This window comes from Homo sapiens, chromosome 17 (assembly GCF_000001405.40).
Source record: "Homo sapiens chromosome 17, GRCh38.p14 Primary Assembly".
NCBI lineage: Eukaryota > Metazoa > Chordata > Mammalia > Primates > Hominidae > Homo > Homo sapiens.
Genome location: NC_000017.11, coordinates 59,069,134 through 59,093,233, shown reverse-complemented (window position 1 = coordinate 59,093,233; position 24,100 = coordinate 59,069,134). Strand labels below are relative to the sequence as shown.

Sequence of the window (24,100 nt, the reverse complement as noted above, 5' to 3'; positions counted from 1 at the left end):
CAAGGTAATAATAATGTTCAAGGTTATTAAGAATGGAGGAATCCTTTTCCATAGGCTTTTTATTTTATTTTTATTTTATTTTTTGAGACAGAATCATGCTCTGTTACACAGGCTGTAGTGCCGTGGCGCTGTCTCGGCTCCCTGCAGCCTCCACCTCCTGGGTTCAAGCAGTTCTCCTGCCTCAGCCTCCTGAGTAGCTGGGACTACATGCTCATGCCACCACACCTGGCTCAATTTGTATTTTTAGTAGAGACGGGATTTCACTATGTTGGCCAGGCTGGTCTCGAACTCCTGACCTCGTGATCCACCCGCCTCAGCCTCCCAAAGTGCTGGGATTACAGGCGTGCTCTGTATGCTTTTTCTTTCAGCTTTATTTTCTTTGCTCTGAAGTACCTTGCTTGCTATCATTTTAAGTCTTTTACTGTCCTTTAAGGTTTCCTTGGGAATTTTATTTCTAAGTTAATTATTTGGCATCAAGTTAAAGCTCATGTTCATTTTAAAAAGTAGAAAGAGATAAACAAATAACAGATATTGGGAGTACGTTGGTGTAGGATCATAGTTATTTACCTCTGAACCTATTTATCAGACAATTAAAACATAAAGTTTTTTTTATTATAAACCTGTTGTTTCCTGAAAACTAGTCAGAAAATCTTAACATCTCCTTTATATGTGGTATAACATTGCTCTCAGTTTCCTAATAAATTATTAATATAATTTTTGGTTTAGTAGAGACATTATTCTCTTCTAAAACCTTTTTATAATTATGAGGAAACCAAGATATCTAGAAGCTTCAATTACTGAACTATGAAACCGTTTTTTTTGTTTTTTTTTTTTTGAGACAGAGTCTTGCTCTGTTGCCCAGGCTAGAGTGCAGTGGCAGGATCTCGGCTCACTGCAACCTCTGCCTCCTTGGTTCAAGCAATTCTCCTGCCTCAGCCTCCCGAGTAGCTGGGATTATGGGCGCCTGCCACCATCACCATGCCTGGCTAATTTTTGTGTTTTTAGTAGAGACGGGGTTTCACCATGTTGGCCAGGCTGGTCTCCATCAGCTGACCTCAGGTGATCTGCCCACCTTGGCCTCCCAAATTGCTGGGATTACAGGCGTGAGACACCGTGCCCAGCCCTGTGAAACTGTTTTAAGACTTAAAAGTTGTGCTGTATTGCTTATTCATTTTTTTCGGTTTAATTTACATGTCTATAATGTATGTAACTCAGAATTAGCTTCCTTTTTTTTTTCGAATTAGCTTTTCAAAAAATAAATTTAGTAGTAAACTAGATAGAAATAAATCATCACTGTGGTTTATTTTTGAGTGCAAAGGAGACAGTGCCATTATTATAAGACAATAATAAGATTATATAGACGTTCCCTGTGAGAATCAGTTAGTCCTGAAATCATTGCTTTTCCTGTGTGAGAGTAGCCTTTTAACAGCTATTTTGTGTTGAGTTTTGTCCCTTCAAAAGTTTATCCCTATGAGGATGACAGTGAGGGAAACAGTAGATTGCCTGTTACTTTTATAAGTATCTCTAAAACTAAGCACTAGAGAGTTAAACCCATTAGATTTGTAGTATTTTATATATATAAATATTATATAATATATTATACATTATTATACATTATATATATATTATATATATAATGTATAATATATTATACATTATATATATTATATATATAATGTATAATATATTATACATTATTATACATTATACATTATATATATATGATATGTTATATAATAATATATTATATATTATATATTATGAATATTATATATTTATATATTATATATATTAAGAATATTATATATATTATATATAAATATAAAATATTAAGTAATATATATATATAGTAATGATGTTTTCTAATCGATATCTAATCTTTTGCCCCCTTAGCGCTGGCTGACAGAGCAGAGAGCTCAATGTCCTCATTGCCGGTAAGTGTTTCCTTACGATTATTTGTGAATTTTGAAAATAGTAAGATCAGAATGTGCCTTGGGATTCATAAAGGCAGTTTTCCTGCAGTCTGCCCATTTCTCTTCTTCGTGAAGATAGTTGAGTAGAAATAAGCAATTTGACTAGAAAAAGAAATGCAGGGACTAATTCATGTGACTTAAAATTACGTTTACTATGTTGTACTCTGCCTCTCAGAAAATCATTGTATAACTTCTTAATTTACCTTTTATAATTAAGCAACAAATTTTTAATGTTTCTGGTTAAAAAATCCAGATAGTTAGGGCATAATTTATCTTTTATAATTAAGCAAAAAATTTTAATGTTTTCTGGTTAAAAAAATCCAGATAGCTTGGCCGGGCACAGTGGCTCGCTCATACCTGTAATCCCAGCACTTTGGGAGGCCAAGGCGGCTGGATCACCTGAGGTCGGGAATTCGACACCAGCCTGGCCAACATAGTGAAACCTTGTCTCTACTAAAAATACAAAAATTAGCTGGGCGTGGTGGCGCGCGACTATAGTCCCAGCTACTCAGGAGGCTGAAGCATGAGAATTGCTTGAACCTAGGAGGTGGAGGTTGGAGTGAGCTGAGATCGTACTGCTGCACTTGAGCCAAGGTCACGCCACTGCACTCCAGCCTGGGCCACAGAGCGAGAGTCTGTCTCAAAAAAATAAAAACAAAAAACAAACAAAAAAATCCAGATGGTAGAGATAAATATAAAATAAAATAAAAAGCCTTCTGATTCTGATACTCCCTACCCTGTCTTCTCACTTAATAATACTTTCAGAAGAAATTGTTGGGTTTGGTATCTATTCTTCTAGACTGTTTTTTGTGCATGTATTTTGTAATGCCCTAATCCAGTATGATTGTGCCTATATTTATATATATATATGCGTATGTGATTCCCATATGCTTTTTCTTAAAATGTACCAATGATATAATATTGTTTTGCAGTTTGCTTTTTCATGTAAAATATGGTAGATATCTTTTCTTGATTGTATGTATACATAAGTCATTTTTTAAAAAAGTGACTGATAATCAGTTTTATGACTATACCTTGATTTATTTATGCCCATATTGAGAGACATTTAGGTTATCTCTACTTTTGGTTTCAAAAAATAATGCTGGAGTGCCATCTGTTAACCATTTTTCTTTTTGTATTCACTTTTCTTTTTATTTTTTTGAGACAGAGTCTCGCTCTGTCGTCCAGGCCGGAGTGCAATGGCGTGATTTCAGCTCACTGCAGCCTCGACCTCCTGGGCTCAGGTGATCCTCCTACCTCAACCTCCTTCCTAACTGGGACCACTGGTGTGTGCTACCATGCCAGCTAATTTTGTTTATTTTTTGTAGAGATGAGATGTCACTGTGTTGGCCAAACTGGTCTCGACTTCCTGGGCTCAAGGGATCCTACCACCTTGACCTCCCGAAGTGCTAGGATTGCAGCGTGAACCACTGTGCCTCGTCCCACCTTTCTTACATTATCTTATAAGACCAGCATTATCAAGTAGAACTTTTTATAATGATGAAAGTGTTCTATGTCTACACTGTCCAGTATGGTAGCCACTAGTTGTGTGTGGCTGTCGATCACTTGAAATGTGTCTAGTGTGGCTATATGATGAAATTTTACTTATTTATTTATTTTTGAGATGGAGTCTCACTCTTTCGCCAGGCTGGGGTGCAGTGGCGCAATCTTGGCTCACTGCAACCTCTGACTCCCTGGTTCAAGTGATTCTCCTGCCTCATCCTCCCAAGTAGCTGGGATTACAGGCACGTGCCACCACGCCCAGCTAATTTTTGTATTTTTAGTAGAGACAGCGTTTCACCATGTTGGCCAGGATGGTCTTGATCTCCTGACCTTGTGATCCACCCGCTGTGGCCTCCCAAACTGCTGGGATTACAGGTGTGAGCCACTGCACCTGGCCAAAATTTTATTTTTATTTAATTTTAACTTAAAAGAGTCACATGTGGCTAGTGGCTATCGTTTTGGACAGCACAGCTGTGGATTTGTGTTTTGTTTTGTTTTGTTTTTGAGACAGGCTCTCACTCTGTTCCCCAGGCTGGAGTGCAGAGGCATGATCTTGGCTCACTGCAGCCTCAATCTCCCTGGCTCATGTGGTCCTCCTACCTCAGCTTCATGGGTAGCTGGGACTGTAGGCACATGCCATTGCACTTGGCTAATTTTTTATAGAGACAGGGTTTCATCATGTTGCCCAGGCTGGTCTCGAACACCTGGGCTCAAGCAATCTACCTGCCTCAGCCTCCCAAAGTGCTGGGATTACAGGCGCGAGCCACTACGCCAACAGTACAGCTTTAGACTCAGAAGTTGAGAATTCAGTCCATATTCTGAATCATATGTTTTTGTTTAGCTTTTTGTTTCTTTTCATAAATGACGTGTTAATGTGGTGAAAATAAGTCACAGATAATATTTTTCATTGTCTTTTTTTTTATTTTTTATTTTTTTAGTTTTAATAGTATTATGGGGCCAGGTAGTGGCTCATACCTGTAATCCTAGTACTTTGGGAGGATCACTGGAGGCCAGGAGTTCAAGACCAGCCTGGGAAATATAGCAAGATTCCCGTCTCTACAAAAAATTTTAAAATTAGCTGGGTTTGATGGTGTGCTGCTGTAGTCCCAGCCACTCAGGAGGCTGAGGCAGGAGGATCGCTTGAGCCTAGGAGGTCAAGGCTACAGTGAACCATGATCATGCATGCCGCTGCATTCCACCCTGGGTCATAGAGTGAGACTCATCTCTTAAAAAAAAAAAATAGTGTTATGGTATGAGTATTATTGTGCTCTCTATTTTGAGAAACGTATTTATTTTATAAAATAATCTCAAATTCCTGAATTAGTGTATGTGTATGGATTTTCTCCCCAGTGCTCCACTCCAGCTACGAGAACTAGTAAATTGTCGTTGGGCAGAAGAAGTAACACAACAGCTTGATACTCTTCAACTCTGCAGTCTCACCAAACATGAAGAAAATGAAAAGGACAAGTATGTCCTCAATTTCTTTGTTCAATATTGAATGGATTTTGCCTTTGTATTGTTTAATGACACTATATTGGTAGTTGCCTTTTAGTTATTTATGAATAAGTAGTGTTATATTTCTTGTTTTTAATTCTTTCAGTCATGCGCTGTTACTGTTAAGTAACATATTCTTATTGTGTTTATTTAACAACAGTTATTTCATGCCATGTATACACAGATACCTCTCGCCCTCCCCTCCCCCCACACAGAAAGTACTTTGCTAGATGATAGGCATACAAAGGTAAATGAGACATGATTTCTGTTAACTGTTTAATGGGGACACAGTGATAATACAGTGTTAAGTCATTTAAGGGACAAGAATGAATAAATGGTCTTATGTTCCATGATTGAAGAATTTTGAACATATCTGGAGAGTTGTTATGGGGAGCAGGTAAAGAAAGGAAAGAGTGATGTGGCAGTGATTGGTTTTTATAGATGAAGAAGCTACAACATGGTTAATTGTAAGGCTTCACTGTCCAGCAATAATAAAATAACTTGAATTAGGTGAGATTCCAGGACCCCTGAATGTTTAGAAATAAAGCCTTGTCACTTTCTGTAGAGTCACAACATGGTAAAGCAAGAGGTTGAAACCTCACAGGTCATTAGAAAAAAATTTATCTGTTTCTTCATTATACTGAGGAAATAGAACCATAGAAATAAGAGAACAGGGTGTGGTGGTGTGCATCTGTAGTCCCAGATACTTGGGAGGCTCAGGCAGGAGGATCTCTTGAGCCCAGAGGATGGCTTAGGTAACATAGCAAGAACCCATCTCTTAAAAAAAGAAAAAAAAAAAAAAAAAGAAAGAGGCTTAATTATGGTAGTATAACACATTAATGCATAATCAGAATTAAAACCTACTATTCGGGCGGGTGTGGTGGCTCATGCCTATAATCTCAGCACTTTGGGAAGCCGAGGTGGGTGGATTACCTGAGGTCAGGAGTTCAAGACCAGCCTGGCCAACATGGAGAACCCTGTCTCTACTAAAAATACAAAAATTAGCTGGGCGTCGTGGTGGACGCCTATAATCCCAGCTACTTGGGGGGCTGAGGCAGGAGAATCGCTTGAGCCCAGGAGGCGTAAGTTGCAGTGAGCCGAGATCGTGCCATTGCATTCCAGCCTGGGTAACGAGCGAGACTCCATCTCCCAAAAAAACAAAAACAAAACCAAAAACCTGCTATTCAAGTTTAACTGGACTTTTAAGGAATTCTGTCACTTGTAGCATTGTAGAGGTCTCACCAAAAATAATTATTTAATTTCTTTTCTATACAATGGCACATTTCTTTGGTGAACACTTAGGTGTTTTTCCTCTGAAGTGGTGGGTATTACTGTTTGGAAAGACCTTTTACCTCTTTTTGGGCCTCTTCTATTAGAGCCTCTCAAAAGGAATAGACTGCTACAATTTGCTAACCTGCTAGTCTTTCTTACTTGCTGTTTGATGCCTACTGGCCTCCCCTTGCTGCAAGTGAATACAGGCTGTTAATTAAGAGGAGTTTTGGCAAATTTTCTATATTGTAAAAGCTATATTATAAATTTGGTCTTTTGGAAGTCTTGCTAAATGAGCTTCCAAACAGTACCTGATGTATTCTAACTCTTATTCATTTCCCATTTTATATTCTGATTACTTATGAATTAGAAATATAAAATATAAACTTATGTAAGTATTTTCTCTAAGCTCAGTGTCCTTCATCAATGAAATGCTTTTTGAAAAATGCAAGAGTGGGCCAGGCACAGTGGCTCATGCTTGTAATCCCAGCACTTTGGGAGGCCGGGGTGGGTGGATCACCTAAGGTCAGGAGTTCGAGACCAGCCTGGCCAACATGGTGAAACCCTGTCTGTATTAAAAATACAAAAATTAGCTGGGCGTGGTGGCATGTGCCTGTAATCCCAGCTACTTGGGAGGCTGAGGCAGCAAGAATTGCTTGAACCTAGAAGGTGGAGGTTGTAGTGGGCCAAGATCGCGCCACTTCATTCCAGCCTGGATGACAGAGCTAGACTCCGTCTCAAAAAAAAAAAAAAAAATTGCAAGAGTATGTCTACTTTATAAACAAGAGAATACTTAAAACATTTTAATTATGGTAAAATATACATAAAATTTACCATCTTAATCATTTTTTAATGTACAGTTCAGTTATGTTAAGCATGTTCACATGTTCAGCCAATCTCCAGAACTTTTTAAACTTGCAAATCTGAAACTGTACCCATTAAACAACTCCCCATTCCTTCTTCGCACCAGCCCCTGGCAGCCACCATTGTACTTTCTGTTTCTATCTGTTTGAGTACTCTAGATACTGCATATAAGTGGAACCATACAGTACCTCTCTTTTTGTAACTGGTTTATTTTACTTAGCATAATGTCCTCAAGGTTCATCCATGTGTCAGAATTTCCCACCTTTTTAAGGGTTAATAATATTATATTGTATGTATATGTCACATTTTTTTTGTCCATTCATCTCTCAGTGAAAATTGGTGTCGCTTCCACCTTTTGGCTGTAGTGAATAATGCTGCTATGACTATGGATGTTCATGTCTTTGAGACTCTGCTTTCAGTTCTTTTGGTTATGTAATCAGAAGTAGAATTGCTAGATCATGTGGTAATTCTATTTTTAATTTAAGTTTTTGAGGAATCTCCATACTGTTTTCCATAGTGACTGTACCATTTTACAGTCCCACCAGTAGTGCACAAGGGTTCCAGTTTCTCCACATCCTGGCCAACACTTGCTCTTTTTTGTTTTTTTGATAGCAACCATCCTAATATGGTATGAGGTTAGGATTCACATTTCTCTAGTGATTAGTAGTAATGAGCATCTTTTCATATGCTTACTGGAGATCTTTTGCTCATTTTTAAATTAGAGTTTTTAAAGTTTATTTGTTGAGTTACAGGTGTTATTTATATATTCTGGATGTTAAACCTTCATTCTTTTCTTTTTTTTTTGAGGCAGAGTCTTGCTCTGTTGCACAGGCTGGAGTGCAGTGGTGTGATTATCAGCTCACTGCAACCTCTGCCTCCCGGGTTCAAGCGATTCTCATGCCTCAGCCTTCTGAGTAGCTGGGGTTGTAGGAGTGCACCACCACGCCCAGCTAATTTTTTGTATTTCTAGTAGAGAAGGAGTTTCACTATATTGGCCAGGCCAGTCTCAAACTCCTGGCTTCAAGTGTTCCACCCGCCTTGGCCTCCTAAAGTGCTGGGATTGCGGGCATGAGCCACCGCTGCACCCGGCCTGTAGTTTATTTGTGTATATGGTATAAAGTGAGGGTCTGTATTAGTCTGCTAGGTCTTTCATAACAATACTGCTAACTGAGTAGCTTAAACAATAGAAATTTATTTTCTCACAGTTCTGATAGGTGTTAAGTCCAAGATTAAATGCTAGCAGTGTTGGTTTCTAGTGAGGCCTCCCTTTCTCCTTGACTTATAGATGGCCACCACCTAGCTCTGTCCTCACATGATCTTTGCTATGTGCACGTGCATGCCTGGTGTCTCCTCCTCTTTATAGAGGACACCAGTCCTGTTGGATTTGGGTCCTGCCCTTGTGATCCTTACTTAACCTTAATTACCTCCTTAAAGGCTCTGTCTGCAAATACATTCACACTGGGGGTTAAGGCTTTAACCTATGAATTTGAGGGGGGACATAGTTAATCCATAACAGAGTCTAACTTTATTGTTTTTCATGTGAATATCCAGTTTAAAAGAACATTTAAAATTGAGTTGTTCATTTTCCATGAGGGTCTAGTATTAAATCGTGCAGTTAATCATGTGTCTTGATTATTGTTATCGTTGACCACATGTAGGAAAAGTACTTGTGCATGCTCATGTAGGTATAGATGCATAATCAATATGATTATTAAGCACATGCCCAAAATGTAGTAGTACAATAGAATATATCATCTGTAGTGCTGTGTGGAAATGATGCAATATGTGTTATGTTTTTAAGAAGCAAATCTGTATTTCGCATGTGATTATAAAGTCCAGATCAATGAAAACAGTACTTTACAAAAAATTGTCCGCATAAACTTCTTTAGCTTCCTTTTCAGAAGCCATGGAGTACATTTTATACTGTGTTTCTTGAGATATAATCATTTAAAACTGACCTGTTTGCCCAAGCTTAAGAATTTGTGGAGGTGATTATGTTCCAATTTAATTTATAACTTCATTTTCTTTTCATAATGTATAGATGTGAAAATCACCATGAAAAACTTAGTGTATTTTGCTGGACTTGTAAGAAGTGTATCTGCCATCAGTGTGCACTTTGGGGAGGAATGGTGAGCAGAACAAATTCAGTATTTTTTTTAAGTTAGAGGCTAGAAGGCACTGAAATACTTATTCAGATAGAAAATAGTGTCATTATGCTCTCGTAGAATGAAAGTTAAAATGCATCTGCTTTCTATACGCTTTATTAAAGGTATTGTACTTTTATTCCAGAAGAATCTTGTTTGTGTGGTTTGATGGACCCCTTATGTAAATATTTTAATCTGTAACACCTATAAAACATATCCTCTATTCATTTGCAGATCTTTTCGTTGTAGGATCTAGGTCACTTTTTTCATTAAAGGTCAGTTGATCAGATGTACTGGCCAACATTTCCAATTTTAGTTCCTTTAAAATGGAGCACGAACTTAGACACTTGTGAAACAACATGAGTACGCCTATCTAGATCTTATAATTATTTTTTATTTTTTAGATTATTTTTTCCAATTGAATTCAAGAGCAGTTTTTAAAGACAGTCTACCATTATTGAGCCTGAAGCATTGAAGTTAGCTTTCTTAGAAGCAGCTTTTTTATTTTAAAGTCGTGTTCTGTTGTTTACTGAATACTTTTTTTTTTTTTTTGAGAATTTCGCTCTTGTTGCCCAGGCTGGAGTGCAATGGTGGGATCTCGGCTCACTGCAACCTCCGCCTCCCGGGTTCAAGTGATTCTCCTGCCTCAGCCTCCCTAGTAGCTAGGATTACAGGCATGTGCCACCACCACGCCTGGCTAATTTTGTATTTTTAGTAGAGACGGGGTTTCTCCATGTTGGTCAGGCTGGTCTTGAACTGCTGACCTCAGGTGATCCACCTGACTTGGCCTCCCAAAGTGCTGGGATTACAGGGGTAAGCCACCGCGCCCAGCCTCTGAATACTTAATTAAATGATCTCCTTACAATAATAAGTACAATTGGCATAAATAGGTTGAGAATAAACACAATAGATTCTTAGGAAAAATAAGTTATGGGTGAAATGGAAGTGGGTAGGTATCTAGAGTTGCTATAAGAATTGATCATTCTGTGGGCATCAGTCAGTATGTTTTACGGAGAGAGTGGCAGGCCAGATTGGTTGAGTAGAGCTCAATTCAGAGCTTTCTGCTAGAATTTGAATATTAATGTGCTAACTAGAAAAAATTAAGTTCTCACATTTAATACTTTAAATACATAGGTTTTGTAAGAGACAGTAGAAATGTTTTTTTCTATACTTAAAGTGAACATGTAAAAATCTACATCTTTTTTGGAGACAATAATGGGATACTTTGGCTAAATAAGACAATTCTAGTAAGAACTTATAGGAGGTTTCTTATATTAAAATTTAATAATTCTGGTTACAAATCAAAATTATTTTTAGGTAGTTAGCTATAAAAATTGTTCTTTGAGCTGAATGCAACTGGATTTGTGAGGCTAACTTGTATCAGTCTTCTGTCTCTGTAGTAACTCTGTGGGATGGAAAATGGGTTCATTGCTTTTGTTAATTTTGTATCCTGGGCTTTTTCTTCAAGTGTCTTTCTAATTCATTCAGCTGTGGTAAAGACTAGGGATTTGGTGATGAACATATCAAACAATTACATACTCAATTGGCTTGATAAATTATAGGAATAAATACAGAGAGCTGATGAGGATGCATAACTATAGCAGCTGATCCTGTAAATCTGAGCTAAGTGCAAAGGATGAGTAGGATTAAGACAAACCAAGATGGGAGAGGGAAGATGGAGAATTATTATTATTATTTGTTTTGTTTTGTTTTTTTGAGACAGAGTCTCACTCTGTCACCCAGGCTGGAGTGCAGTGGGGTGATCTCAGCTCACTCCAACCTCCGCCTCCCGGCTTCAAGTGGTTCTCCAGCCTCAGCCTCCTGAGTAGCTGGGATTACAGGCGCATGCCACCACGCCCAGCTAATTTTTGTGTTTTTTAGTAGAGATGGGGTTTCACCATGTTGGCCAGGCTGGTCTCGAACTCCTGACCTCAGGTGATCCACCCGCCTCAGCCTCCCACAGTGCTAGGATTACAGGCGTGAGCCACCATGCCCAGCATTATTATTATTATTATTATTATTTTTTTTTTTTTATTTTTTTTTTTTTTTGGTTTTTATTATTAAAAAATTATTATTTTTTGGGGGGGACAGAGTCTCTGTCACCCAGGCTGGAGTACAGTGGCCCGATCACAGCTCACTGTAAGCTCTGCCTCCCGGGTTCAAGCAATTCTCATGTCTCAGCCTCTTGAGTAGCTGGGATTACAGGTGTGCGCCAACATGCGTGGCTACATTTTGTATTTTAGTAGAGACGTGTTTTTGCCGTGTTGGCCAGGCCAGTCATGAATTCCTCAGTTCAAGTGATCTGCCCTCCTCAGCGTCCCAAAGTACTGGGATTAGAGGCATGAGCCACCACCCCTGGCTAATAATTATTTTTTAATAAGAGGGAGTAATTTTTGTAAAGTCCTGGTGGAAAGAAGTTTGAGGACATGGAAGAAGACTAGTTTGCCTTAGAGAAGAGTGACTGACTGATAAGGTTGTGGCAGATGATTTGGGCTGTGGTTAAAGATCTTGGTTCTTTTTAATAAGTTAATTTCTAGTTAAATGAATATTTTGCTAAAGCCCTTTATTTATAATCTTGAAAGAGTTCCTACTTGGACCAAGTGATTTTAAGCGGGCACTGGCCTGCTTCAACAAAATTAAATTAGCTAATAAGGTAAAGTTCATTTGAGAGATTTACCAGTTTATTAGTGTCCATAGAGTGTTACAAAGGAATGTAAATGCAGATGAGATATGTGAAAGTGTTCTAAAGCTACTCTAATTTAAATAGCATGGCGGACATACCTTTAAACCTTTGGCAGAAATTTATGAGCAACACGTCACTAAAGTGAATGAAGAGGTAGCCAAACTTCGTCGGCGTCTCATGGAACTGATCAGCTTAGTTCAAGAAGTGGTAAGACTACTACTAAAATATAATTATTTTGTTTTTAATCTGTAATATATAATAATATATTTATATAATATAAGTTAATCAGATGTTGAAATCAAGGTTTTCAAGATTTGCAAATTTGATAGGCTGTACCTATAGTCAAATTCCATAAATTTCAGAGTATCTGAGAAATTTGCATACAAAGCCCCTGGCTTGTAAGGAAGCAGTTGGAGTCAGAGAATTACCACTTATGCAGAATTAGAAAATCAGTGAATTTAAAAAGTCTGTTTGTTACAGAGTCAATAATTAACTTATTTTTTCTTTTTTTTGAGATGGAGTTTCACTCTTGTCGCCCAGGCTGGAGTGTAATGGCGCGATCTCAGCTCACTACAACCTCCACCTCCCGGGCTCAAGTGATTCTTTTGCCTCACCCTCCCAAGTAGCTGGGATTACAGGTGCCCACCACCACGCCCAGCTAATTTTTGTATTTTTAGTAGAGACAGGGTTTCACCATATTGGCCAGGCTGGTTTCAAACTCCTGACGTCGTGATCCACCTGCCTTGGCCTCCCAAAGTGCTAAGATTACAGGTGTAAGCCACTGTGCCTGGCCCCAATAATTTACTTCTAAACAGAATCAGTATTGACTTTTACAGTCATTCATTAAGTTATACACTCTTTGGATCCCCAGCTTTTGGGTGAGTTTCTTTTACTAAGCAATGAACTATTTGTGATGTCCTGATTTAGAACTCCACAGACTTGAAAGTGCAATATTTAACATTACTGTTTAGATATTGTTTAGGTCAAACAGCTTTAGTGAGCTATTTATAATGTTATTTCTGTGAAAAAATGTGATAAGCCCCCAAGAATGAAATACTAAGCATGTTTTTAGAATACATTTTGTTTCAAGTTGTTAGAATGACAGTCATAAATGAGGTTTATGGACCATTTCCTAACTTAAAATGAAGTTTGTGGACCATATCCTAAATTAAAAGCAGATGTCTTCTTTGTTTTACCTCTTTAGGAATCAAGAACCAAGTGATCATTTATAACATTCTTTATGCAGAAAATTTGTGTTTTTGATTGCATGTCTGCCATTTTGAAATATAAGCAAGTTGGGTCATTTCCATTTGACCTTCCTCTAACTACCTTTTTCATATTATCTATTCTTGGCAATATTATAATGTGGTGCTTCTGTTTTTAAAATTTACCCAATTAAAATTATTCTTACCTCTTTATCTTCTAGGAAAGGAATGTAGAAGCTGTAAGAAATGCAAAAGATGAGCGTGTTCGGGAAATTAGGAATGCAGTGGAGATGATGATTGCACGGTTAGACACACAGCTGAAGAATAAGCTTATAACACTGATGGGTAAGTGTTTATGTATGCTGCTGGGGTACCTGGTGCTTTCAGCTTCTTTGAGATTCAGTCTTTGAAGAATAAGGGTGATCATCCTAGGAAGGAATCTTGAGATTTTAGGCAACTCCATGTTGTTACAATTTAGACAGATAAATGTTAGACTTGTATTTAGAAATGATAGGAGAGAAAAATTTTCATAGCCATTTGGATGAAAATCCAAGTTTTCATAGCCATTTGGATGAAAATCCTAATGGCCAGTGGGCATCATTGTTAGGTAGCTTTTTCTCCAAATCTAACAGAATTCCTTCTACTAATGTTCCATATCCTTTCCATCCATTTTCATTGGGGATGAAGAAACTGACATTTGTAAACATCGGCGTCATCCCCTGCCAGCATTTTCTTAGAGATTTAAAGTCTCAGCTTTTGATTTCTAGTAGGGTTCATTTTACATATGCTTAATTATATTTATTGCTGACCTTTTTGCTTTTCGAAGATTCCTTCATTCTTCTTTGATTGTGGAGCCTGGTATTGAACTTAAATTTTAAGTAAGAATTTAATCCAATGCTATGGTTTGTTTTGTTTGATTTGTTTTGGTGATCTTAGTCCTTCCAGTGTTTTGCTGACTAAAAACCAGCTTTGCATTTTTTATCATAGTCCAAAGTGAAATATATATACTTTAAATAAGGTGTGAACAAAGAATTTTTTTTTTTTTTTTGGCTATCTTGATTCTCCAAGATTTTAGCCATGTCTTTGTGTCATCCAAAATAATGATTTTATCCATTTTATTTTTAACTTTTTAAAAATGAGATGCAAATATCTTTGAGTTTGTATATTTGTATATCATTTCATGAATTGCTTTTCTATTATAATCCTATACTATTTAATATCTGATTTTTAGTTTTTTTCCCACAGACCAAGTAGCAAATAGTCTTAAACAATCATTCTTCTAGTAGTTAGATTGGAAAGCACAGTTCATCCACCCAGTGGAGCAATTAGACAAAACCTGTAGGTATTGATTGTACTGGTCACAATGCCACTTATATATTTCATGTAAATGAAAATCGTAATTGTTCTTAGATCCTCAGTTGCAGTCATACATATAGGTGATCTTAGTTTTTCAGAACTCTAGATAATATTTGAGATCTCTTTAAGTTCATTAAGCCATGTAGAGTACTGGATGTTGATACGTATTAGGACTTTAAAATTGAGGGGATCTTGACTGTTGATGTGATCTTCAGTCGTAGCCAAATAAACATTTGCATGTGGTCTTGTTTTTCTTGAGTGAGTTTGTTCATTGCTTCATTTATTTAATTGAATCAACTAAAAGTCAAATAATACCACAGTACAGATCTCTTAAGTTTATTAATTTTACTACCTGTATAACTGTGAAATAACTTCCCTTTCTAATAACTGAACTTGCCCTGCTTTTGTGGCTTTCAAATTATTTTTCATTATGAAAAATTATAATTTGTGATTTCCAAGGTAGCTTTTATGATTAAATAGGATTCTTTCTAAGGATAAGAGGTGGGGAAAAGGATATTTTCAGGGTTAGTTTATCTTTAGAATAGTCTTATAAGCCTCAGATTTTTAATTCATACCATAATATCTGCCACTAATTTATTATTATTATTATTATTATTTGAGATGGAGTCTCGCTCTGTCATTCAGGCTGGAGTGCAGTGGCACTATCTCGGCTCATTGCACCCTCCGCCTCCTGGGTTCAAGCAATTCTCCTGCCTCAGCCTCCTGAGTAGCTGGGACTACAGGCACGTGCCACCACCCCCAGCTAATTTTTTGTATTTTTAGTAGAGATGGGGTTTCGCCATGTTGGCCAGGCTAGTCTTGAGCTCCTGACCTCAGGTGATCCACCCACCTCCGCCTCCCGAAGTGCTGGGATAACAGGCGTGAGCCACCACACCTGACCTCTGCCACTAATTTTTTTTTTTTTTTTTTTTTGAGATGGAGTCTCGTTCTGTTGCCCAGGCTGGAGTGCAGTGGCGTGATCTTGGCTCACTGCAACCTCTGCTTCCCAGGTTCAAGAGATTCTTCTATCTCAGCCTCCCAAGTAGCTGGGACTACAGGCACGTGCCACCACGCCCTGCTAATTTTTGTATTTTTAGTAGAGACAGGGTTTTACCATATTGGCCAGGCTGGTCTCAAACTCCTGACCTTGTGATCTGTCTGCCTTGGCCTCCCAAAGTGCTAGGATTACAGACGTGAGCCACCACCCCCGGCCTCTGCCACTCATTTTTAAGTTTAATTATGTATTGTAATGTTGTCCATAGGCTAATGTTTTAGGATTGTGGGATGTGGTTATAGTAGAAATTATGTCTGATAATATTAGATTCTAGCTAATACTTTATTTTAACTCTTTTTGCAACCTAGAAATTCTGAGTTTTGTTTCAAAAATAAAAGTTCTAGGCTGAGGCAGGTGGATCTCTTAAGCCCAGCCTGGGCAATGTGGTGAAACCCCATCTCTACCAAAAAAAAAAAAAAAAGAAAAATTAGCCAGGTGTGATAGTGTGTTCCTGTAGTCCCAGCTACTCAGGAGGCTGAGGTGGGAGGATCGCTTGAGCCTGAGAGGTGGAGGTTGCAGTGAGCCGAGATCACGCCACTATACTCCAGCCTGGGCAACAGAATGAGACCCTGTCTCAAAAAAATAAATAAAAATAAATAAAGGCCGGGCGCCTTGGCTCATGCCTGTAATCCCAGCACTTTGGGAGGCCGAGGCGGGTGGATCATCTGAGGTTGGGAGTTTGAGACCAGCCTGACCAACATGGAGAAACCCCATCTCTACTAAAAATACAAAATTAACCGGGCATGGTGGCACATGCCTGTAATCTCAGCTACTCAGGAGACTGAGGCAGGAGAATCACTTGAACCCAAGAGGCAAAGGTTGCGGTGAGCTGAGTTCGTGCCATTGCATTCTAGCCTGGGCAACAAGAGTGAAACCCCATCTCAAAAAATAAATAAATAAAATAAATAAAAGTTCTACCTATTAAATGTTTTTCCTTATCAAATAACACTACAGATTGATAAAACTTTTGCTGTCCTCATGGATGTACTTCCAGTTTTTCAAATTTTGGGTTTACAAAGAAAATGGCCTGATTTGGTAAGCATACCTATCTTCTTTTTGTTTCAAAACATATAAAGCACTTTCTTCCTTTTCTATAAGGATAATTTCTGTAATTATAATTTTTTTGTTTGTAATTTGAGACAGGGTCTCACTCTGTTGCCCAGGAAGGACTGCAGTGGTGCAATCAAGGCTCATTGCATGACTGCATGCAGCCTTGACCGCTTGGGCTGAAGTGATCCTCATGCCTCAGCCTCTTGAGTAAATTGGGCTGCAGGCATGCACCACCACTCCTGGCTAATTTTTTACTTTTTTGTAGAGACTGGGTCTCACCATGTTGCCTAGGCTGGTCTCAAATACCTAGGCTCAAGTTATCCTCTTGCTTTGGCCTCCCAAAGTGCTGGGATTACAGGCATGAGCCATGGCCCCGGCCAGTAATAATTTGTTTATCCTTTTCTGTCTCCAACTTTTTGAGACTGTTCACCTCTGTGGGCATTTTTTTTTTTAAACAGGTCCTTGTATATTCACAGGACAGACCTTTTGCTGACATTTAACCTAAAAATCTGGCCCACTTTGTATTCTCTTTTAAGCCACAGTTAAATTTGGTGAAAAATGATTTCAGAATAGCTGATTGAATGAAATTCATGTTATTGCTTCTTCCCAAGGGAATATGAAAATCTAGAAAAGTAAATTTTTTGCTTAAAGTATATTGTCATTGCACATTTCGTTTCTTAGATGAATTTGATCTCAGTGGTATCTTGTCTAAAACTAATTAGAATTGGTTCTGAAGTTCCATTTTCAAGGCTACTATAATATTCAGCCTCTTAAAGTTGAATGAGAATTTTTAGGGTAGCTGTAATGAAGAATTTTTGCTTACTTGAAGTGTATTTCTTGTTATTAAATATGTTCATTGGAAGTTAATTTCATTCTTAAACCAATAATGAACCCAAGTGTTGATGATTCACTATTTTTCATCAGGTCAGAAGACATCTCTAACCCAAGAAACAGAGCTTTTGGAATCCTTACTTCAGGAGGTGGAGCACCAGGTGATGAAATATTAAATGTAATGAAATAGTCTTTATCCTTTTTTCTCTGTATACTGTAGTTGTTTTTTTTTTTTTTTTTTTTTGAGATGGAGTCTCTCTCTGTCGCCCAGGCTGGAGTGCAGTGGCGCGATCTCGGCTCACTGTAAACTCCGCCTCCTGGGTTCACACCATTCTCCTGCCTCAGCCTCCTGAGTAGCTGGGACTACAGGCGCCCACCACTACGCCCGGCTAATTTTTTTGTATTTTCAGTAGAGACGGGGTTTCACCATGTTAGCTGGGATGGTCTCGATCTCCTGACCTGGTGATCTGCCCGCCTCAGCCTCCCAAGCTGCTGGGATTACAGGCGTGAGCCACCGTGCCCGGCCTTCTCTGTATATTATAAACGTTTTTTTTTTGACAGAGATTATCTGTATGAGATCAAAAGATCTGTTGATCTTTTGTGTTATAATGGAGATTTTTATGAAATTAGGAATCAGCTGATTCTTGCCAAGTTTTTTCTTCATGTTTGGGAACTGCATTAGAACTACATTCTGCTTTGTAAGAACAGAACTATTTCCATAGAAATCTGAATGTATAAGAGGTTAAAATCTCCCCACACTGTGACTTAAGTGGTGGCTTTGAGATATTATTGCCAGTTACTTTACATGTAGCGATTATTACTCTAAAATTTAGCATTTTTATTTATTGAGGAAATATTAAGTCCTAAATAGATAGCAGGCATCATTGTAGATATTGGTGATACAGCAGTGAACAAAATGGTAAAATTCTGTCCTCATAGAGTTTATATTTTAGATTAGGGTGGGTGAATATGAAGCATATAGTAAATGAGTAAATAAAATATGTAGTGTTGCATAAATATCTGATACATTCACTTGTCTGGAATTTGCTTTTTGTAATTTCTCTCTATGCCTTATACACAGCTGTCTCCTGAGATTTTTATCTTAATCATTCTGGGAATTCCCTTCACATCTTTCTTGTATTGAATCTCATGTTTCCTGATTCCTATGGTTTCCACTTTCTTGGTTTACTTGTTTTGTTTTAACATCACACTTCCCTCAGTAGCTTTCCAGGAAGGGTAGTCAGAACACATTTTTCTTGACTGCATTGTCTGAAAATATTTTTATTTTATCTTTGTACTTGATTGACAATTTGGCTTGTAGGATTCAGCACATAAATATTTACTAAATACTCTTATTTTTCTTCATTATCCCCATTCTTTTTTCCTTTTCTTTTTACATACACACATATATATCTGTAGGGCATTGGCCCCAGGACCTTAATGGATACCAAAATCCGCAGATACTCAAGTCCCTTATATAAAATGGCATAGTATTCTCATATAACCTATACACATCTCCCATATACAAACATGTGTCAAATTATGACCTTTTGGTCAATGACAGACTGCATATGTGACAGTGGTCCCACAAGATTAAAATGGAGCTGAAATACTTCTGTTGCCTAGTAGTGATGTCTAATGACATCATAGCCATTGTAATGTAGTAGCACAAAGCATTAATCATGTGTTTATTGTGATGCTAGTGTAAACACACATACTGCACTGCTAGTTGTATAAAAATATAACACATTATTATGTATGGTATATAATACTTGATAAGCATAATAAACAACTGTGTTACTGGTTTATGTATTTACTATACCATACCATTCATTATTCTAGAATATATTCTAGAGTTTACTCCTACTTTTTAAAAAAACGTTGACTATATTCCAGAAGAAGGCATTGTTAGCATTGTAGATCCATATGTGCTAGTACCCGTGAAGACCTTTCAATGGGACAAGATGTGGAGGTGGAAGGTGGTGATATTGATGATCCTGACCATGTGTAGGCCTAGGCCATTGTCTTAGTTTTTAACAAAACAGTATTGAGATGGGGTGTACACCTGTAGTCCCAGCTACTCAGGAAGCTGAGGTGGAAGGATTGCCTCAGCCCAGGAATTCAAGGCTTCAGTGTGCTATGATTGTACCTGTGAATAGCCACGGCGCTCGCCTGGGAAGTATAGCAAGACCCATCTGTTTAAAAAAGTAAAGAAATAGGCCGGGCGTGGTGGCTCATGCCTGTGATCTCAGTACTTTCAGAGGCCAAGGTGGGCAGATCACTTGAGTGAGTTCAAGACCAGCCTGGGCAACATGGTGAAACCCCGTCTCTACTAAAAATACAAAACTTAGCTGGGCGAGGTGGCACATGCTTGGAGTCCCAGCCACTCGGGAGGCTAAGGCATGAAAATTGCTTGAACCCGGGAGGCAGAGGCTGCGGTGAGCCGAGATCGTGCCACTGCACTCCAGCCTGGGCGACAGAGCGAGACCCTGTCTCAAAAAAAAAAAAAGTAAATAATATTAACTGAAAAATGTAGGCTACATGGTGATATAGCCTGATAGTGTTTATGTAAAGTTTGAAAACATTCAGAACATTGTTTATGGATGTATGTACACACATAGTAATTGTGGAAACACATGTATAGTGATAATAAACTTCTGTTGAAGGGAGCAAGTTGCTTTTGGAAGAAATGGTGTCAAGGAAGGATATACACAGTAAGCATTCAATTAATATAAGTTAAATTTTTTTGTATTATGTGTGTATGTATGTACATATACACAGTGATTTTTAGCATACCTTAAAAATCTTAAGCAAACAGTTCAAATAACTTTAGATCATTTTATATAAATTGTTCAAAAAACCGTAATGCCTTGGGCAATGCCTGACACATAATAATATGAATGACAAAATATGCAGCTGTTTGTTGTTTTCTGCTGTTACCACTTACCATTATGTCATTGGTTGATGCAGTAGCTCAAACATGATATCATTATTCTTGGTAACCCAAGACTATAAACTTTGATATATATCATATGATATATGATACTTTTTTTTTTTTTTGAGACAGAGTCTTGCCTTGTCGCCCACGCTGGAGTGCAGTGGCGTGATCTTGGCTCACTGTAACCTCCGCCTCCTGGGTTCAAGCAATTCTTGTGCCTCAGCCTCCTGAGTAGCTGGGACTACAGGCACGTGCCACCACGCCCAGCTAATTGTTATATTTTTAGTAGAGATGGGGTTTCACCATGTTGGCCAGGCCTTGAACTAGCCAGGTCATGAGGTCTTGAACTCCTCACCCTAAGTGATCCACCCGCCTCAGCCTCCCAAAGTCCTGGGATTACAGGTGTGAGCTATTGTGCCCAGCCATATGATATGTTATTTTTGGTGAGCCTTAAGCAACTGTTATTTAAAAGATATAAACTCACCTGTAGGTGGGTTTATGAATATCATTCATATGGCATTTGATAGTATATTAGCTTGCTAGGCCTGTCATAACAAAATACCAATGACTGTGAGACTTAAACAATAGAAATTTGTTTTCTCAGTATTCTAGGGGCTGGAAGTCTAAGATTCAGGTGTTGGCAGGTTTCGTTTCTTCTGAGGTCTCTCTCCTTGGCCTGTAGATGACTGCCTTCTTACTGTGTCCTCACATGGACTTTTCTGTGTGGTTGTGCAGCCCTAGAGTCTCTTCCTCTTAATAAGGACACCAGTCATGTTAGATTAAGGCCCTACCCCAGTGGCCTCATTTTAACATAATCACCTCTTTAAAGATTATCTCCAGATAGACTGAGGTACTGGAGGTTGAGCCTGCAGTATATAAATTATGGAGGAAAGGGGCACAAAATTCAGCACATAACAGATAGTTTACAAAGCTTTTTCACTATAGCTTCATAATCCTTATAACAAACTTCACGAAGTAAGCAGTGGTGGATATTACTATTTTAGTTTTGTATGTAAACAGACTCAGAGTTATGTAATTAGTCAGTGGCAGAATTGGGAGTTACTTCAAACTGGTTTTTTTGAAGAAAAAATTAGTAGTCTTATCTTTTATCTACCATGGTTATGTTACTGAAGTTAGATTTGTTACTTTTTCCCAAAATAGTGTTTCCCAAATTAGTATCAGATAGTGCGTGTGTGTGTGTGTACACACGGGTGTATGTGTGTACGTTTTGTATTCTGTCACCTAGAATACAATCTGAGAAATTGCTTTTAAAAGCTTTCACCTTGGTCGGGCACGGTGGCTCACGCATGTAATCCCAGCACTTGGGGAGGCCGAGGCAGGTGGATCATGAGGTCAGGAGTTCAAGACCAGTGTGACCAACATGGAGAAACCCTGTCTCTACTAAAAAATACAAAAATTACCTGGGTATGGTGGCACCCACCTGTAATCCCAGCTATTCAGGAGGCTGAGGCAGGAGAATCGCTTGAACCCAGGAGGCGGAGGTTGCAGTGAGCCGAGATCGCGCCATTGCACTCCAGCCTGGGCAACAGAGCAAGACTCTGTCTCAAAAAAAAAAAAAAAAAAAAGCTTTCAACTTACCGGTTTGTTCATTAATACATTCATAAGAACTTCACTGTACCAGCCTGAAAGTATATTTGTACTTGCTTAAAACCTCATTTATCCTAAAATGTAAGGAGAGAAAAATGCATTAGTATTAAGTATACTTATTCATTGACTTTACTGTTAGAATATTATAGAAATAAACCTAGATTCTTTGTACATTCTTAATTCTCAAGCTCACTTTGAGTTATTTTTATCATTTTTTTCAGTTTATAATCAGAATAATTTGTAATTTCTTAAGAATTTTGAGGTGGCAGTGAATAGTAATTTTGTTTGTTCAGATAATTTTTTTCCTCACACAGTTGCGGTCTTGTAGTAAGAGTGAGTTGATATCTAAGAGCTCAGAGATCCTTATGATGTTTCAGCAAGTTCATCGGAAGCCCATGGCATCTTTTGTTACCACTCCTGTTCCACCAGACTTTACCAGGTATGACACAGTTTTTAATTTCATTTTCATTTGAAATTTATGTGGAAATGCATATACTTGTTTCAAAAGAATGTTTTTTTTTTTAATGCCATCTCTCTCTCTCTTTTCTTTTATAGATAGGGTCTCACTTGTTGCCCAGGCTGGTCTCAAACTCCTGGACTCAAGTGATTTTCCCACCTTGACCCCCCAAATTACTAGGGATCATAGACATGAGCCACCACACTTGGCCACTCCATAGCTTTTTAAGGTCTTGTTTATAATGGAGTGGTCTGGCAAGCTCTGTTGTATACATACAAATCTAGTTCTCCTGAAAAGTCTCACAGACTGATACTTTTGACTCTTAAGAGAAAATGACAATGAACTAGAAATCATTTTTTTTTCCAAGAGCTCCATCTTCCGTAGTATAGAAAAAAATAATTGATTACATTAGCTTCATCAGTGTACCTTTTGAATTGAACTATATCTCCTAACACAAAACTCAGAAACTGATGAAATGCCAAAAGAATTTGAAGGTGACGCCATGTTATCTCCGGATACTAAAAGATAGAGAGAGGAAATAATTATGGCAAAAAGTATCCTAGTTTTCATCTTGGGCTAAACCTTAGAATTTTTCTGAACAGCATATTCCTTCAAGCATGTTTGTAATCATTCTGTGGTGTTAGACTGGTGGTTTCTGACTAGATGTTGGAATCACTTGGGATTTGGCTGAAAATTAATCAGTGCTGGGTCATACCATACCCCAGGCCATTTGAAAGAAAATCTTTGGGTGTGTATTAGTCTACTTGGGCTGCTATAACAAAATACCATATACTGGGTGCCTTTAAACAACAGAAATGTATTTTCTCACAGTTCGAGAAACAAGAATTCCAAGATCAGGGTGTCAGAAAATTCACTTTTTTGCCTCAGCTTGCAGACAGCTGCCTTCTTTCTGTGTCTTCACCTGACCTTTTCTCTGTTCTTGCTTGGAGAGAGATCAGTCTCTGGTGTCTCTTTCTCTTTTTATGAGGACACAAGCCTTATTGTATTAGACCCACCATTATCAACTCATTTAGCCTTAATTATCTTCCTAAAGGCCCTGGCTATAGATACAGTCACATTGGGGGTTAGGGCTTTAACATGGGAATTTGGGGAGACACAATTCAGCCTGTGACATAGGGTTCAGATGGACATTTTCAGTTTGTTCTTTTAAAATCTCCTTAGCTTATTCTATGATGAGGGGTGAAGCCACTGCTTCAGATAAACATTTTGGTGTGACAGACTTTATCTTAGAGAGATGACTTATGGAATACTATCAAGTTTTCCTACCATGGTGAGGGCTGTGGCACATTTAGAAAACAGTCTTTGTTATAAAAATGTTTATATGTTGAGCTGCCTTTTCTTTTTCCTCTAATATGTGATGCCTCTGATGACCACAGAGCATTCATTGTACTATTTTATTTTTTATTTTTTTAATTTATTATTTTATTTATTTATTATTATACTCCATCTCACTCTGTCACCCAGGCTGGAATGCAGTGGCGTGATCTCGGCTCACTGCAACCTCCACCTCCCGGATTCAAGCAATTCTCACACCTCAGCCTCCTGGGTAGCTGGGAATATAGGCATGCACCACCACGCCCAGCTAAGTTTTGTATTTTTAGTAGAGACGGGGTTTCTCCATGTTGGCCAGGCTGGTCTCAAACTCCTCAC

General features: G+C 38.2%; 1 protein-coding gene across 47 annotated transcripts in view; it reads left to right on the top strand.

The window, feature by feature from the left end:
* The window catches only part of TRIM37 (tripartite motif containing 37), a 139,680-nt gene that overhangs the window by 13,647 nt on the left and 101,933 nt on the right, over nucleotides 1-24,100 (top strand). For 43 of the 47 annotated variants that reach the window (NR_148347.2, NR_148346.2, XM_047436110.1 and 40 more), the window contains 7 exons: nucleotides 1,894-1,934; nucleotides 4,827-4,943; nucleotides 9,145-9,232; nucleotides 12,015-12,137; nucleotides 13,357-13,480; nucleotides 17,520-17,587; nucleotides 22,287-22,411. Coding sequence is in view for 45 of the 47 variants with exons in the window: in XM_047436110.1 (XP_047292066.1) it covers nucleotides 1,894-1,934; nucleotides 4,827-4,943; nucleotides 9,145-9,232; nucleotides 12,015-12,137; nucleotides 13,357-13,480; nucleotides 17,520-17,587; nucleotides 22,287-22,411 (686 nt within the window). In the remaining 2 variants the exon portion in view is untranslated. Of the gene's footprint in view, nucleotides 1-1,893; nucleotides 1,935-3,141; nucleotides 3,218-4,826; nucleotides 4,944-9,144; nucleotides 9,233-12,014; nucleotides 12,138-13,356; nucleotides 13,481-17,519; nucleotides 17,605-22,286; nucleotides 22,412-24,100 lie in introns of those variants that run through there. The other 4 variants (NM_001320990.3, NM_001353083.2, NM_001353085.2 and 1 more) reach the window with 4 other exon arrangements.